This window comes from Homo sapiens, chromosome 1 (genome assembly GCF_000001405.40).
Source record: "Homo sapiens chromosome 1, GRCh38.p14 Primary Assembly".
NCBI lineage: Eukaryota > Metazoa > Chordata > Mammalia > Primates > Hominidae > Homo > Homo sapiens.
The window spans coordinates 159,826,873-159,844,832 of NC_000001.11; the positions used below are offsets into that span (position 1 = coordinate 159,826,873).

At 49.0% G+C, this 17,960-nt stretch overlaps 1 protein-coding gene and 1 long non-coding RNA gene across 15 annotated transcripts in view; one reads left to right on the forward strand and one right to left on the reverse strand.

Moving 5' to 3' along the window:
* On the forward strand, positions 1-10,620 carry SLAMF8 (SLAM family member 8). Of its 11 annotated transcripts, XM_017001844.3 has the most exons (6): positions 1-66; positions 2,994-3,320; positions 6,004-6,309; positions 6,390-6,497; positions 7,238-7,371; positions 7,456-10,377. In XM_017001844.3, the coding sequence occupies exons 1-5, from the start codon at positions 27-29 to the stop codon at positions 7,357-7,359; spliced, it is 903 nt and encodes a 300-aa protein (XP_016857333.1). In that variant the 5' UTR covers positions 1-26; the 3' UTR covers positions 7,360-7,371; positions 7,456-10,377. The 11 variants fall into 11 exon arrangements, with proteins under 11 accessions (XP_016857333.1, XP_016857334.1, XP_011508077.1 ...); XM_017001845.3 differs by lacking the exon at positions 7,238-7,371 and having other exon boundaries at positions 6,390-6,521; positions 8,312-10,620; XM_011509775.3 differs by lacking the exon at positions 7,238-7,371 and having other exon boundaries at positions 6,390-6,521; positions 10,213-10,620.
* Positions 7,606-17,960, reverse strand: part of SNHG28 (small nucleolar RNA host gene 28) — a 20,560-nt gene continuing 10,205 nt past the window's right edge. For 2 of the 4 annotated variants that reach the window (NR_147123.1, NR_147122.1), the window contains exons 2-4: positions 14,254-14,363; positions 11,045-11,155; positions 7,606-9,283 (exon numbers count right to left, since the gene is read on the reverse strand). This is a non-coding gene — a long non-coding RNA (small nucleolar RNA host gene 28). Of the gene's footprint in view, positions 9,284-11,044; positions 11,156-13,838; positions 13,995-14,253; positions 14,364-17,960 lie in introns of all 4 variants that reach the window. The other 2 variants (NR_147125.1, NR_147124.1) reach the window with 2 other exon arrangements.

The following is a 17,960-nucleotide window of genomic DNA, read 5'->3' on the forward strand; positions in this document are numbered from 1 at the left end:
GAGTTTGCCTGCCTCTCCAGAGAAAGATGGTCATGAGGCCCCTGTGGAGTCTGCTTCTCTGGGAAGGTAAGTGGGGCAGGCAGATAGCCTGTCCTCGGAGAGCTGAAGGCCCCTCCCCAGCTGCCTATGCCAGACGTCTGGGCAGGGATCCCTCGACCTGGGTGAGAACCCAGAAGCTGAGGGTGGGTAGGAAAGACTAGAACAAGCTCTTGGGCAACATTTTAAGCTAGGCAGATACAAAGAGATGCAGGGTCCTGGGAGGGAGGAGGTGGCAGCTTGAGGGGTATTCTTATCTGTGAGACATGAGCTGTTTTGTGGCCCAGAGCAGTAAAAACGGAGCCAGTGGGTGATACTGCTGGTTTGGAGAGAAAGTCGGCTGTGAGAATGGTGAGGACCCGGCAGTGTTAGCATGCAGAAACTCTGCAGAGTTTGAGGAGAGTAGCAGAGGGCAGGGCAGAGCAGGGTTCCCCACAATCAGCAGAGTGTGTTTTCAACAGCCTGTGGGGGAGCTGAGGTCCCTCCCTACAGGCCTTTATAAGGGGAGGCAAGTACTAAGTAGGGATGAGAGAGGCTAAATGTGGCCCACGTGGACTTAGGGGTGGCCGACGGTGGTGTGATGTTGGGATGGCTGATACACGGGGTCTCCTCCACACCGGGCGATCCCTCTATCCATCTGATGCCTGAGTTCCCTTCCTTGGTCAACAAGCAGCCAACATGACATGGGTCAACACTGCCGGGCCATGGATGAGGGTTTATGGGGTGCAGCAAAGATTAAGATGATATTGTTTACATCAGAGGCTCATAGGGACTTTGGGTTGCTTTGTTTCATCTCCTTGCCTGAGTTCCTGGCCCTGAGAGCTCCAAAGCCTGCAGATTTCTTCAATATTTCTAAACATGTGCAGGAAATCACACCTTAACCTCAAAAAAGGCCTTGGTCTGTTTGGTGAGACAAAAATAATTTGCCTTTTTTTTTTTTCTTTGAGACGGAGTCTTGCTCTGTCACCCAGGCTGGAATGCAATGGTGCATCTCAGCTCACTGTAACCTCTGCCTCCTGGGTTCAAGCGATTCTCCTGTCTCAGCCTCCTGAGTAGCTGGGATTACAGGTCACTGCCACTAAACCCGGCTAATGTTTGTATTTTTAGTAGAGACAGGGTTTCATCATGTTGACCAGGCTGGTCTCAAACTCCTGACCTCAAGTGATCCGCCCTCCTCAGCCTCCCAAAGTGCTGGAATTACAGGCATGAGCCACCACACCCAGCCCAAAAATAATTTTTCAAATGGCCCTTAATGATCAAAGATCTGTGTGACTGACCTGGTACAGACCCCTTATTTTTCAGTGGTACTGAAGCCTGGGGCAGGGTGATGTGTGGAAGGGCACACAGCTGATCTGTGGCAGCACCAGGAGGAGCAGGTAGGAGCAGCTAGGTCTTGGCTGACATCCAGTGCAATTCTCTTTGTGTGTTACATTCCTGCTCTGCATTAACACTGAAGTCATCTCCAGTGTGAGAGGAGGTTGTTGGGCCTGGAGGACAGTGAGGCAGAGGGGGACCGGAATTATCATGGCCGACTGAGCAACCATCCAGATCATGTCTCATTGACCAAAACTTCATCACCTCTTATTCTTCCCTACACCCTGTGCCAGCGACAGGCATAGGGTCAGTCCTCAGCAGGGTAGGTCATTTATTCAATACCATTTACTAGGCTTCTCCCACAGTCTGTTCTTAAACAGTGGTGGGCACTGGAAGCAAACGATGGGGAGAAAGAGCTCACGGTCTAGTGGGAGATGCTGACTCATAAACAGGCAATAAGAATAGAGGGATAAGGGTAGTCAGCATGGTGGCCCCAGGCCACTGTGAGAACACAAGAGAGAATATGTAACCTCTCTTGGTTACATTACCTATGAGGGATAGGGGAGGTCGGAGGAGGCAGTGATGCTACAAGAGTGGGCAGAAATTAGTCAGCAAAGGAGTCAGGGGGGCACTTCAAGGAGAAGCGTCTCCCATACACGTCTGACTCAAATATAGTCCCCCAAAACAGCATCTTGCTTTCTCACCCCCTGTCTGTTTCTCCTCCTGTTCTGGATCACAGAGAATAACATCCAGTGGATCCCAAGGACCTGGGAGCCGTCCTCGACTCCTTTTTCTCCTTCACTCCCCAGAGCTAATCTATTACCAAATCCTACTGATTACACACCATCTTCGTGTTTCTCAATTCCTCCCACTTCTTCCCATCCCGGTTGCTCCCTTCCTCAATTCAAGTTGCCGTCACTTCTCCACTGGACTAACATGAACAGCCTAAGTCCTGCCCACCTCCAGTGCATTCTCCACATCCCTGCTGGAGTGATCTTTCTAACCATGCATCTAATCCTGTTACGCTCCTGCTTAAAACCTACCTGAGACGCCCCATTGCTCTACAGATAAAGCCCAAACTCCAGTATTGCTTTCAGGTCTCTGCATGATCTGACTCCTACCAACTCTGCAGTGTAATTTCCTACTCCTCACACAGAGAACTACTCTCAGTTCCCCTGGGCACCAACTCTCCCCCTCCAGGCCTTTGTCAGTACTGTGCCCTCTGCCGGTGACACTTCCCTATCCTGCTCCAGGCCGCCCTCGGCTTGGCCTGGCTGATTCCCATTCCTCTTCAAGGCTCAGCTTAACAATTTGTTTTCTGAGCCCATCAAGGCTGGGTGAGATCCCCTGTCACCCTACCTGTGTTCTCCCAGGGCATCTCATTTTTCCCTTCATGGTATTTAACAGAATTCATTTTTATTGATTTCTTGAATGTCTGGCTTCCTCTGTAAGTTCCATGAATGCAGAGACTGGGGTTATCTTCCATATGTTTTATCCCTGGTACCTAGCACAGTGCAACCTCAACTTGAGTGGAGGGAATGTCAGTGGAGGGGCCCCAATTCACCCTATAGCAGCTCAGATGCATGCAAAGAAGGATGAGGAGTGTGGGGCAGGCAGAGTGACCAGGGGCTCTGTTCTTTCAGCCCTACTTCCCATTACAGTTACTGGTGCCCAAGTGCTGAGCAAAGTCGGGGGCTCGGTGCTGCTGGTGGCAGCGCGTCCCCCTGGCTTCCAAGTCCGTGAGGCTATCTGGCGATCTCTCTGGCCTTCAGAAGAGCTCCTGGCCACGTTTTTCCGAGGCTCCCTGGAGACTCTGTACCATTCCCGCTTCCTGGGCCGAGCCCAGCTACACAGCAACCTCAGCCTGGAGCTCGGGCCGCTGGAGTCTGGAGACAGCGGCAACTTCTCCGTGTTGATGGTGGACACAAGGGGCCAGCCCTGGACCCAGACCCTCCAGCTCAAGGTGTACGGTGAGTGTGTCTGACACTGGCTGCCTGGCCCTCTTCCCCCACAAAGCACCAGACGAGCATCCTGAGTCATAGCAGCCAGGGAGAGCTGGGTTCCAGAAAGCTCTGGTCTCTGACCATGTTGCCGACTCAGGGAACAGCTGCTCCCTGGCAGTCACGTCTAAGAAAATTCCTCCTGGCTGCAGCAGCCAGGCTTTGCCATTTCACAGTGCTTGCCTGAACTCTAGCTCAGTCTTTTCTTGGCTCAGTGGCCTTGGACACAATGCTTAGCCTCCCTGGCCTTCACCTTTCTCCTTTGTAAATGGGCATTGTAATATTACCATGTAGAGTACCCACAGGATGAAATGCAGTGGCATTTGCAGTGGCATCCAGGACAGAGCCTGGCCTGTGCTTCCTCAGTTCTAAAGGATCATCATAGACTATAAGATGTGCCACTAGTCTATGTAGTCTATGTAGTCTGTGTAGACTATGTGTCATTAGTCTAAAGGAAAAAAAATGATGTACCATACTAAACTATGACATAATGGGTTTATTTAAAAATCAAATTATAATGAAACTGTAATTAAAAGTATAGAATTTACACATTTCTTAAAAGGGCTTCTTAGAGAGATCTTAACTATATATGATTCATGGGTTCTCTCAGTCATTCATCATTGCAAAACAAACCATCCCAAAACTTACTGACTGAAAACAACAACGATGTTTACTTCTCATAATTCCGTGGGTTGGCAGGCCCAGCTGGGTGCGACTTCTGCTTCGCATGGGTCTGCAGAGCCATTCGCGCAGCTACATTCAGCACCTCGGTTGGCTGCATGGACTGGGGGCTGCGTGGGCCTTGTTTCCCAACAACTCCACCTCCACCTCCACCACAGCCACCTCCACCACCTTCATCATTTGTCTTCTGGTCAAGAAAGAGTGGCTTTCAGCTCTCATTTATCTACCTAATGGGCTAGAAAAGAGGCATGGGTGACCCTAAATCACTGTTTCAGTAAAACCTTAGAAATTTAGATAGAGTGGAAGAGAGGGGAGTCCAGATTTAAGAATGGAAAGCAGAGGTAGCAGCTGGGAAGAGGGTAGCCATGAGGGAGATAAAGATTGTAAGCAAATTGGGGAGATGTCTTGAATCCCCCCGAGACAGCTAACTGGCTGTCCTTGGGCGAGCCACTCAGGGTGCCGATGCAATTGCAAGGTGCCTTTCTGGATGCACGCAGCCCTGAGCCTCATCTTGGCAAGCAGAGTGCTGGCTGGATTTCAGCACCCCCCACCCCCTGCCACCTGTTACCCTGTGACCCCCCTTAGCCCAATGTCCTTGTGTAGTGAATAACCTACCCCACCATACAGGCAGCCCTGGAGCCCCTCCTCTGATCTGAGTCTCAGCTGCCGCACATGTGAAATGAGGACATTGAATGTGATAATACATGCAGCACCCACACCACTAAGCTCTAAAATGCCTTGTTCTCAGCAGCTGAATTACAGATTTTAAGGAAATTGCTGTTTTATTGCTTCCAAATACATAGCGTGATTAGAACTAATTGCACGAAGCTGCCAAGCAGCCGTCCTTAGGAGTTCTGCTTTGACAATAGATAAGAACGATTTGAATTAGCAGATCAGTTACTAGAAATGTCAATGGGTGTTTCTACTGTGCTTGATCGTGTTTGGAAGCAGCTTGTCCTCTTAAGTGATGTAAATATCCCCCCTGTAATCTTTGTTTATACTATTAGTGTGCCCAGCAAATCATTTCTCTTTCATATCACAAATCCCACCAGACTGAACTGGCATTAACGAGGTTTTTCTCTGCTTGACTTTGGAATGCTGTCAGAGACTGAGCCCTCCTGTTGTCACCAGAATGCTCTCCCACTGGCCTCATTTCCACTGAGACTCAGGATTTACTCATCAACCTGTATAGAAAGGGGAATCCATGGCTAGGACACCAGGATATCAGTTTGTTCAGTGACCAGATATCGAGCACCCACTATTTGCCAGCACTACAGAGCTAAGTTTACTAAGCTAACAAGACAGAGCCCCCACCTCTGGGCCCCTCCTTCACAGCATTTTGCACCCTCATAATTATTTAATTAATTATTCATAATCATTTTGTATTTGTCTTTCTCACCAAACTGTAAGCTCCAGAAGGCTAGGAATGTGTTTGTTTTCTTGCCTGACTTAATAAATGCTTGTCATCTCTTGTTGACTGACTGACATATTGTGAGAGAAATACTACAAAAAGAGATAGAGTGCTTGGAGAGCTCAGAGCCATGCCTGGGAAGGCTTCACAGTCAAGGCATTAAGCAATGTGTTCAAGCTGGGCCTTGAAGGATGGGTAGAAGTTTTCTAGGAGGACAAGAAGGGAAAGGCATCTGTGTGCGCAGATGAATTATGTGAAAGCATGAAAGATATTCAAGAGCATGACATGTTTGGGAAAACTGCAAATTAATTAGGATGAGCAGGGAGAAGCAGCAGGAGGTACAGCTGGAGAGATGGGCATGAATCGTTTCCTGAAAGGTTTTGAATATCAAGCTAAGGAATTCAGCTTCTGTCCTGTGGGCAGTGGAAAGCCAGACAAGATTTTGGAACAAGAGAGGCCTAGCCAGAGGTGGCATCTAACCCTGGGTAGATCCCAGAGCCAGAGATGTGGGCCCTGCCCAGCATCCCTGAGACCCATACCAGCTGTACTTTTCTTTCCCAGATGCAGTGCCCAGGCCCGTGGTACAAGTGTTCATTGCTGTAGAAAGGGATGCTCAGCCCTCCAAGACCTGCCAGGTTTTCTTGTCCTGTTGGGCCCCCAACATCAGCGAAATAACCTATAGCTGGCGACGGGAGACAACCATGGACTTTGGTATGGAACCACACAGCCTCTTCACAGACGGACAGGTGCTGAGCATTTCCCTGGGACCAGGAGACAGAGATGTGGCCTATTCCTGCATTGTCTCCAACCCTGTCAGCTGGGACTTGGCCACAGTCACGCCCTGGGATAGCTGTCATCATGAGGCAGGTATGCTAAGGGCCAGCAGTCAGTGGTTGAGGGCTTATGAAGCATCAAGTCCACCTCTAACCCCACCCCTCCATGTTCAGCACCAGGGAAGGCCTCCTACAAAGATGTGCTGCTGGTGGTGGTGCCTGTCTCGCTGCTCCTGATGCTGGTTACTCTCTTCTCTGCCTGGCACTGGTGCCCCTGCTCAGGTAGGAGTCCTGCAGGTGCAGGAGGTAGGTGGAGGAAGTGGAGTTCCTGGGGAGGAGGGGGTCTTGGACCTCCTCCTATTTAGGCTTCAGATGGTCTGCCCCTTCCTACCTCTCCCACCTCATCTCTTGGCCTTCTCTAGCTCATATCTTGGTTTACAACCAGACTCAACTACTTGAAGTCTCTTATGTGGTTCTCCAAATGAACTGTTCTCTCACATCCATCTGCAGACCTTTGTACATTGTATTCCCTCTGCCTGGAACACACTTTCCATGATTTCCCACCCAGCCTCCCCCCTTCATGTGGCTATCTCATACTCAGTCTTCAAGGTGTGCTTGCTCCAGAAAGCCTTCCCTGATTGCCCCAATACTCAGGCTGATTAACATCCTTTCTTCAATCTCCATTGCTTACCCCAATCAGAGAACTACTTACATTTACTTCCCCACTGAATTCTGAGCCCTTAAAAGGAGGATGCTGGGTCAACACTGGGCATGTCAGTGGTTCCCAGAACACAACTCTTCCTGAAACATAGCTGGTATCGACAAACATTGTTGAGTGGGAGTCTAAATGACTCCGAACCCCTTCTTGCCTGAGATTTCTACAAAATGGCTCCCTAAGATAAGCTACTCCCTGGCCAGTGGCTGATAGGGTTGCCTTCTTGAGAAGAGGAAGGAAGGGGAAACTCCAAGATCAGACCTGGTTCTAAGCTCTACATACAGCTCAGTCCCTTCCTCTGCCGCAGGATGCCCTGCCCCTGAAAGAACTACCCGACTGACCAGGGCTCCGTGGTCATTTCCATGCCAGGCTGTCGGAGCTGGCTTGTCCCAAGGTGGAGAAAGGGAGTCAGCAAGGAGGAGTCACTGAGCCCTCACTATGGTGGGTGTGTCCCAGAAGGCAGGGTCTGGGTCCAGCCTCTAAGCATGGGGACAGGCAATGCTGATTCCTGTTCATTCTCTCCAGCAGAGAGAAGGGCAAGAGGGAACAGCTGAGCCTGCACTCCACCTGAAGGCCCCATCTGCTGTGGGAGGGTATTGCCCTGGCCCCTGGCCCCTGGCCCCTGCCCCAAGAGTCCCCAGGATTTGTGATAAGAAAGTGGAAGCCAGGAAAACAGCAGGGAAAAAATACCTTTATTGAGATATAATTCACATAGCATACAATTCACCTATTTAAAGTATACAATTCGATGCCTTTTAGTGTATTCGCAGAGTTGGGCATCCACCTTCACAACCAATTTTAAAACATTTCTATTACCTCCCCCAAAACCCCATAACCCCTTAGCCATCACCTCCCAAATCCCCCATTCCTCCCACAGCACTAGTCTGCTTTCTGCCTCTATGCTTTTGTCTTTCCTGGACATTTCATATAAATAGAACTATACACTATGTGGCCCTTTGGCCAGGCTTTTTTCACTTAGTGTCATGTCCTCAAGGCTCATAAAATAGCATCTTTGGCCACTGAGAAGGGACCCAACAACCTGGGATAGTAGAAAGCTCCATGCAGGGAGTCCAGAAGCTGGTTCTGGCTCTGCCTCATGGCTTCTGTCCAGTGATTTAACTGGGTCCACCACAGTCCTAACTTTCCATACCTTCTACAATTAAATGTATGGCATAGTTGCAGGCCAAGGTTAGATACTAGGAAGAATTTCCTATTCTTGAAGAGCCTCCCTTTCCAGGGTGTTGGAAGACCAGGAGAAATGTTCCTTTACCTAAGGTGACCTTGGGCTAACACACTGAGGATTCAGAGGCCTGCAGGCAGGCCAAGGATTCCAAGACTCCAAACACTGGAGGGGTAACTTTCTTTCTGATGTCCTTACCAGGGAAAAAGAAAAAGGATGTCCATGCTGACAGAGTGGGTCCAGAGACAGAGAACCCCCTTGTGCAGGATCTGCCATAAAGGACAATATGAACTGATGCCTGGACTATCAGTAACCCCACTGCACAGGCACACGATGCTCTGGGACATAACTGGTGCCTGGAAATCACCATGGTCCTCATATCTCCCATGGGAATCCTGTCCTGCCTCGAAGGAGCAGCCTGGGCAGCCATCACACCACGAGGACAGGAAGCACCAGCACGTTTCACACCTCCCCCTTCCCTCTCCCATCTTCTCATATCCTGGCTCTTCTCTGGGCAAGATGAGCCAAGCAGAACATTCCATCCAGGACACTGGAAGTTCTCCAGGATCCAGATCCATGGGGACATTAATAGTCCAAGGCATTCCCTCCCCCACCACTATTCATAAAGTATTAACCAACTGGCACCAAGGAATTGCCTCCAGCCTGAGTCCTAGGCTCTAAAAGATATTACATATTTGAACTAATAGAGGAACTCTGAGTCACCCATGCCAGCATCAGCTTCAGCCCCAGACCCTGCAGTTTGAGATCTGATGCTTCCTGAGGGCCAAGGCATTGCTGTAAGAAAAGGTCTAGAAATAGGTGAAAGTGAGAGGTGGGGGACAGGGGTTTCTCTTTCTGGCCTAAGGACTTTCAGGTAATCAGAGTTCATGGGCCCTCAAAGGTAAATTGCAGTTGTAGACACCGAGGATGGTTGACAACCCATGGTTGAGATGGGCACCGTTTTGCAGGAAACACCATATTAATAGACATCCTCACCATCTCCATCCGCTCTCACGCCTCCTGCAGGATCTGGGAGTGAGGGTGGAGAGTCTTTCCTCACGCTCCAGCACAGTGGCCAGGAAAAGAAATACTGAATTTGCCCCAGCCAACAGGACGTTCTTGCACAACTTCAAGAAAAGCAGCTCAGCTCAGGATGAGTCTTCCTGCCTGAAACTGAGAGAGTGAAGAACCATAAAACGCTATGCAGAAGGAACATTATGGAGAGAAAGGGTACTGAGGCACTCTAGAATCTGCCACATTCATTTTCAAATGCAAATGCAGAAGACTTACCTTAGTTCAAGGGGAGGGGACAAAGACCCCACAGCCCAACAGCAGGACTGTAGAGGTCACTCTGACTCCATCAAACTTTTTATTGTGGCCATCTTAGGAAAATACATTCTGCCCCTGAATGATTCTGTCTAGAAAAGCTCTGGAGTATTGATCACTACTGGAAAAACACTTAAGGAGCTAAACTTACCTTCGGGGATTATTAGCTGATAAGGTTCACAGTTTCTCTCACCCAGGTGTAACTGGATTTTTTCTGGGGCCTCAATCCAGTCTTGATAACAGCGAGGAAAGAGGTATTGAAGAAACAGGGGTGGGTTTGAAGTACTATTTTCCCAGGGTGGCTTCAATCTCCCCACCTAGGATGTCAGCCCTGTCCAAGGACCTTCCCTCTTCTCCCCAGTTCCTGGGCAATCACTTCACCTTGGACAAAGGATCAGCACAGCTGGCCTCCAGATCCACATCACCACTCTTCCACTCGATTGTTCCCAGATCCTCCCTGCCTGGCCTGCTCAGAGGTTCCCTGTTGGTAACCTGGCTTTATCAAATTCTCATCCCTTTCCCACACCCACTTCTCTCCTATCACCTTCCCCCAAGATTACCTGAACAGGGTCCATGGCCACTCAACCTGTCAGCTTGCACCATCCCCACCTGCCACCTACAGTCAGGCCACATGCCTGGTCACTGAATCATGCAAAACTGGCCTCAGTCCCTAAAAATGATGTGGAAAGGAAAGCCCAGGATCTGACAATGAGCCCTGGTGGATTTGTGGGGAAAAAATACACAGCACTCCCCACCTTTCTTTCGTTCATCTCCAGGGCCCCACCTCAGATCAAAGCAGCTCTGGATGAGATGGGACCTGCAGCTCTCCCTCCACAAGGTGACTCTTAGCAACCTCATTTCGACAGTGGTTTGTAGCGTGGTGCACCAGGGCCTTGTTGAACAGATCCACACTGCTCTAATAAAGTTCCCATCCTTAATGACTCACTTGTCAACTAGTGGACTAATTAACCCTCCACCAAAAAAACACAAAGTGCTTCTGTGAGACCAATTTTGTGCTAATGAGCATTGAGACTGATGCTTTGTAAGTCACACCACAACAAATATTGATTGAGGGCGCTGCATGTGCTGGGTACATTTCTTGGCACTTGGGAATCAGTAGTCAAGCGAAACCCTTGCCTTTGAGAGTTTATGGTCTGGATAATATAAATAAACAAGTAAGCATATGTCAGATGTTGTTAGTTTCTGTTAAAGACAAGGCAGAGTAAAGGGCTAGAGAACAATCTGTTGGGGAGACAGGGTCTGTCTTAGATAAAGCAATCAGATGACACCCTCAATGGGGTGACATTTGAACAGAGGCCCAGTGAAGTGGAGGAGTGAGCATGCAGTGACAGAGTGTTCCAGACAAAGAGACCAGAAAATGCAACGGCCCTAAAATGGCAGCATGGTTGGTGTTTGCAAAGAAGAGAGTGGAGGCCAGAGGGGCTGGATCCAAACAAGGGAGAGAGAGGGGAAGGACAAGAGTACAGAGAGATGGCCTGGGGCCACATCATATGGGACTTCGTCGGAATGCCCCTTTGTTGGAGTTACAATGACAGAAAGAACCCCTCGAGAGTCCAGATATCAGACTCCTCCCAGAACACCCTCTACCTCATTGCTCCAGGATGCTTGTGGTCAGGTGAGAGCCCTCTCCAGATCTTCTTTTGCTTTTCCTCGTTTTCACTTTATTTTCCTTGAGCAATAGTTTTTGCATCTGTTCTCCTGTACAAAAGACAAATACAAGAGCTGCTAGGGCAAAGGGCTCATGAAACATGATATCAGAGAGAATAGGAAAGGGGAATAGCATAAGAAAAGGGTTAGAGAGGACATTTTTCTCATCAATGGAGACATGAACATTCAGTGCCTCATTTTTAAAAAAACTGCTGCATGAGCTGAGATTGTGCCACTGCACTTCAGCCCGGGCAACAGAGTGAGACTCCGTCTCAATTAAAAAAAAAAAAAAAAACTGCTGCAAACATTAATGACACCTGTAGCAAATCTTTCTTCCATGTGTATTAAGAACTAGCACCTGTTCAGTTAATCACTCTTGGTTACTTACTGATCTTCAGAGGAAGCATCATCTCCTTCCAGATTTGGCTTCATGGCTACCTGCATCTGTTCTGCATGCAGCCTGAAGGAAGGGCCTCTAAAATGACAAAAAATAACTATCCCTAGATCTAGGAAAGTTATGGTGGCTGCCTCCCCTTGGGCTGTGCCTTAGTCAACATTATGTGCCAGGAGGGGCAGGCTGAGCACACGGGTAAGTAGTGGGGAGACTCCCACAGCATGACTAGTCCAGGTCCAGGTCTCGAAGCCACACTTTCAGGAAGACACTGAAAAACTGGAGTGTCTGGAAGAGAATGACCAGAATGGTGAAAAGTCTAAAAACCTTACCATATGAGAAATGATTACAGAAACTGGTTATGTTGGGCCTAGAACAAAACACTCGCAGGAGCATAGGTTCTCAAATATTTGAAGGGTTATCACATAAGCCCAGACCATGTAACTGGGGCCAATGGAGCATATCACTAAAAGGCAGATATTGACTCATATGAATAATAGGATCTTAAAGCTGGAAGGAAATCTGTGGTTACTCAGTTCAAGTTTTTTTATTTCTCATGTGGAAACTGAAATCCAAAGAGAATGTTACTCCTCTGAAATTACATAATTAGTGGCACAGTCAGAATTACCTTTAGATTATCTAAATCAGTCCAGTCCCTTCTACTGCACCACACTACCAAGGAAGAATGTTCTGACAAATGGAAAAATCCAAATATGAAGTAAACTGTTTCAATGAATCTGCTTAAGCAGAAACCATCTCAGAGCAATACTTTAGAAGATTTAAAAATAACAGGAAAACACTTATATCAGTCAGGGTTCTTTGGAGGCAAGCAACAGAAACCAACTCTGGTTTTAACTAAAGTAAAAGAGGAAATGTATTAGAAAGATGTGAGTAACTCAGAGAACCAAGGAAAATGTTGACCGAGCCTCAGAAAAGACAAAGCCAGGTAGCCTTGAGGATGCAGGCCTCGGGGCCTCCGAAAATAGTTCTGTTCTGTTTTCTCTTCCCCAGTTGCTCACTGAAGATTCAACTCCCCACCAACAGAGCCTGATTGGCCTATTTGAGGCCAAGGGCCCTCCTCTTTGATGGGGTGGGGAGGAGCTGTAGAACTTCTTGTCAGAAGCATTAACTGGGTTAACAAAATAAAGTACAAAACAAAGTTTGAACAGGTATCTGTAGAACAGGAAATGCACCCATCCATTCATTCAGTAAGCACTTACTATGCACCTACTATGTGTCAGCACCAACTGGGATACAGGAATTACTAAATAGTAGCATCACAAGCCCTGCCCTCAAAGAGCTCACAGACTGGTAAGAAAGCAATGTGTCAACAAAGGATTCCAGTGAGTTCACAGGCACACAGCCCCTAGCATGAGCTCAAAGGCACCTCCTGGCCTGTAAGACCTCAGTCCCCAAAGACAGCCAGTCAGGTCCCCACGGGAAACGGTAAAAGGAGAAAGCATTGCCTGGGAATAAAACTTCAGCTGGCAGGAACTGAAGACAGCATGGTATGGTGGTGTCCTGGGGCAGGCTTTCCCACAGCAGCATCACACTTTTGTTTAACTGTGTTCCCTGAACACCAGGACATCTCATGCTGGTAGCTTGTCTTCAGGTTTCCCTTGAGATGGTACAGAAAAGGGAGAGCCACTCACAAGGGCTAGGGGCTGGTTCCATCCTCCTGGTGGTGGTTAGGGTGGTCCTGGCTGGGACGCCTGGACTGAGATGCTGATACTGTCTCATCTGCCAGCCCACCCTGTTGGTCTTCAAGCCTGTACCCACTGGCTGGACCTGCTTAGACTCCTCAGGAGTCTTCCAAAGTCAGGTAAAGCCATTTAAACTCTGTCTAACCAGAGAGAAAATGAAGAGGTCGGAGCTCTGTCTGCTGGCTGACCCACTCAACCATATGCCCACCTGCAGTTAACCACTCAACCATACGCCCACCTTCAGTTGGCTTAACTGCAGGAGCTCAGAGCTCCAGCATACTCACTGCAGTCCTGCTCCCAGACCAGGGAGCCACTACCCCCGCTCCCACCCCCCAGCAAAGAAGACACAACCAGTTGGTAGCCTGGACCTCTCTCTTCGATGCTCAGAAATACCCTGGGATCCCTCCTGCCCCTCATTGATAACAACCTGACAGCCTAACAGTCCCAGAAAATCCCTAACAATCCACAGACACCCAGGGTGCTGGATGCCTCCTGAGCACTGAGCACAGATCCCCACACGTAGGGATGCCTCCGCATGAGGACATGAGAGAGGCAGATGGTGGAAGGACTGACCACAGGCCTGGCCACTCCCAGCAGAAGGACAAGAAGTGCAGGGGAAGGCCTGAGCCTCTTGGCTTACCTGTTGTCCTGAGGCCTGGGCAGTCAGGAGAAGGTAGAGCTCTCATCCATGCACTCACCTGAGGGAAGTCTACACCAGAGGCCAGAGTCACCAGCCAGAGCCTCAGCCAGCTCCAGCCAGCTGCTAATGGAGCATTTATTCTTCTGGAGGCTGCGTCTAGAAAGGACAAGCCTAACAGGATGCCTGTCGGTCTATTCCCTACCTGATTACCCCAGGAAGCCACAAGCACAGACAATATCACCCCTACACCAAGGCAAGAAGGCTGCTGCCCTGGCCTGTACTACAGAAAGGCAGCTCTGGCTCTCCTCCATAGGCAAGGAGACAACGGTGCATTCACCCGTAGCTGCCTCTCCCCCTTTTAGATCACACTTCAGAAATACAGATGGGAATTCTGAAGATGGACTAAAATGCCTACCTGTATCCTGGGTCTGAAGGTAGCTGAGGGGCAGTTTATGGACAAGGTGTGGAGGAAGCCCAGGATGTGCACAGCTGTGGGCACAAGGCTCTTCACAGTGTGGGCTGGAGCTGCAGGTGAGAAGAGAAAGGATCTGATTTAAGGCCTGGGCAAGGGAGCCAGTTCTTCCTATGCTGGGAGTTCTGGTATGAAACCCCAAAGAGTCCAAGATTTCTGAATCCAAACCTGGCCTTCCAGGTCATTGTGAAGGTATATTTGTCAAGCTAGGAGAATAGAACATATTTTACGTAATAATGTGTTAGCTCAACTTACAATTACAAATGTTATGGGTGGGCCTCAATATGCGGACCCCTCCCCCTGGACTTTTTCCATCATAATTCCCTCCCACCCCCTGAAACTGACACCTCCCCCATGACTAAGAGCAAACCCCCAGCTCTCGCTGCAGCTCAGAAGGAGCACAGCAGTGTGGGTCTGGAGTCACACTCAGGACAGCGGGCTCTGATTTCCTGGAGAACTGATTCGCGGGTCCACAGCACTCATTCTCTCAGCACGTCTTTAGTGAGTACCCACTCCATGCCAGACACACTAGGAATAGAGCTGTGGGCATGACAGGCGAGTCTCTGCATTCATGAATCTTGCAGACTTGTCAGGCAGAAACAGACACTGTACAAGTGTACACAAATGTTTAATTAAAACTGTGCTAATCTCTATAGAAGAAAATAGCTGAAAACCAAGAGCCAGAATAACAAGGGATCAAAATATAGCTGGCGGGAGTACAGAGGGAAGGGCCTCCCTGAGGAAGGAGAGTCAAGCTGAGGCCAGTGGGGAGAGGAGGAGTCAGCAAAGCAGAGTGGAGGAGCTGCCATGCTGGGAATGAGCATCCATGAAAGCCCTTCCAGAAAGATCTCTGCCTGTGTAAGCATCTGGGGGAAGGTCCCCAGGGCCAGAGGGCAATGAGCAGGAGGGACTCTGGGAGGAGAGGACGGCAGAGGTCAGATCATGCAGGGTCTGATAGGACATGGAGAATTTAAAAGTTAATTATAAATGTAAAAGCAGACCACTGAAGAGCTTTAAGACAGGAAATGACATGATCAGACTCACGTTTTAAAAGATCACGCTGGCAGCTGCATGGAGAATGGATTGAAGGTGCCGAGAGTGAAGGCAGGAAAATGAAGTTATTGCAGGAATCCTAGGAAAAAACCATCATAGCTTGGAATGAAGGTGGGGAGAGAGAGGGAGACAAGTGGATGGCTTCAGTGCATATTTAGGAGCTAGAAGAGAATAGACAAGACTTAGTATCCTTGGTTGAGGGAGGGGTCAAGGATGACACTGAGGTCTCTGACATGAGTAACCAGGCAGATGGAGGTACCATTTACCAAACCTGGAAATACAGAAAGAGTTAGTTTTGGCTGGGCGTGGTGGCTCACGCCTGTAACCCCAGCACTTTGGGAGGCCGAGGCAGGTGGATTACCTGAGGTCAGGAGTTCAAGACCAGCCTGACCAACCTGGAGAAACCCCATCTCTACTAAAAATACAAAATTAGCCAGGCATGGTGGCACATGCCTGTAATCCCAGCTACTTGGGAGGTTGAGGCAGGAGAATCACTTGAAACCAGGAGGCGGAGGTTGTGTTGAGCCAAGATCACGCCATTGCACTCCAGCCTGGGCAACAAGAGTGAAACTCCATCTCAAAAAAAAAAAAGAAAGAGTTAGTTTTAGGGTGAAGTCAGAAGTTAATTGATCCTTAATTATCAGGGAAGAGGGGCTTTAAAAGGAACAAATTCTTGGAGGCTGAGCAATATATTGGGTTGAATCATATGAAAATTTCATTTTTTAAGTGTAAAAATAGTCAAACACAGGTAATTTCATATGATTCAATCTAACAATTTAAATGTAAGATGACTTGAGGAAGAAAAGTCATCTCTTCAGCTGCCCTGACTCCACCTCCTATAAGGACAACTGGGACATGCCTGTAACCTAGTAGATGTTGGCAGAGCTCCTTCAACATGAACCTGGGCATGGAGGGACTGCAAGACAAGAGGGCCTCCCACAGCACTCTCAGCCCACACTGGTCGGGGGCCATGGTGTCCTGGTCAGCTTCTCTACCACCTGGACTGAATCCTGCCTGCCCAGCTCCAGAAAGTCCTGAAACATTCAGGAGCCAAGGTTCAGAATGGCAGGGAGTGATGGAACTGCCTCAGCAACCATGGAGAACTGTCCTTGACCCCAACCCCTCTGAATCCAACCCACCTCATGCCTAGTCCTGCAGCATTCAGAGCCCCATATAGATTGTGGAAGTGAGGCCCCTGATGCTGTCTGAGGAGCCTTTCCAAGCAACAGGGGCAGTGACTTGGCCAGGCAGGCATGGTCAGACACAGAAGGGCAGTGCATCAGTCATTCCAAAGTTGCTGGCTTCATAGATACCGTGATTGTCCCTATGCCCACCCCTGCTGGGGAGCATAGCAGCTGGAAGACTTCTTTCCCTCTCAGCCAACCTGGGCCCTCAGAGGCCTTAAGATGGAGATGACTCAGCTATTGGCAGCGCCAGCTCAGCACCCTCGATTCCAGACAGACTCGGCTCTTCTCTGTCCCTTGCACCTGACATACTCATGTACTCTGCCCCTTTAACCAGGCTTCCCCCTCTGCCTCCCAGCTGAGAATATCCTTCTTTATCCATCTTGGTCTCCAGCCATCACTTCCAGGCTCAGCCCCAGGCACTCCTCCTCTCAGAAGCCTTTTCCTCAAGTGGTCTCATAGCATCAACTCTCCCAGCTTTGCATGAGCCTGAATCAACAGTTGTGTGCATTGTTCTTTAATTTTTCTAAATGAGATTAATCATCTCACTTGGAAGGCTCCATGTTCCTAGAAGGATCAGGTTTAACACACAGTCCTACTGGTGACACTCAGTAAGCACATCGCCAAAACACACTTTTTAACGAAGTGGTTAACTCAGAGGGTGGGGAACATGCAGCTAGACAAAATGGGCATTCTCCAGATATCTCCTCCACTGAGGAAGGCAAAACTCTCAGGCCAAGAGATTCCACATCTGCACCTCCTCTTCCAGGCAGTATAATCAGTCGGCTGGGTTCAGACAAACTTCTGCACCTCTTAGGGACCTCTTAGCCACCCAGGAGGAGATAGGCAGCTCCTTACTAAAGTCTCACCTCCTGGAGATGGGGGTTAGCTCTTCCTGCTGCAGTTTGCCTGTCTCCTCCATCCCCTTTCTTTCTTGGAAACAATATTTATTGAGTGTGTGCCATATGCCTGGCACTTTTTAGGAGCTTAAGTACATTAGTGAATAAAGCAGACAAAGACCCTTGCCTTGTGCCCCTCCTTGTGGAGCTTGCAGTGTGGGGAAAGGCGAGGACAAGTCAATTAGCAAACATCGTAACAAATAAATGTTACAGCATGTTGGAAGAGGATAAGTGCTACAGATTAAAGGGAAAAAAGCAGTGTAGGAGGGGGGGATAAGGGCGATGAGGAGCGCAGGCAGGTGGGTGCTGCAATCTTAAACGAGGTGGCCGTGGTAGACATCACTAAGAGGGAGAAAACTGAGCAAAGATTTGAAGGACGTGAGAATTAAGCCATTGGGAAATCCAGAGGAGAGCCATTCTGGGCAAAGAGAACAGCCAGAACAAGGACCCTAAGGTGTTCAAGAAACAATGAAGAGCCAGTGATGCTCAGGGGAGAGAGCCAGGAAGAAGAGTG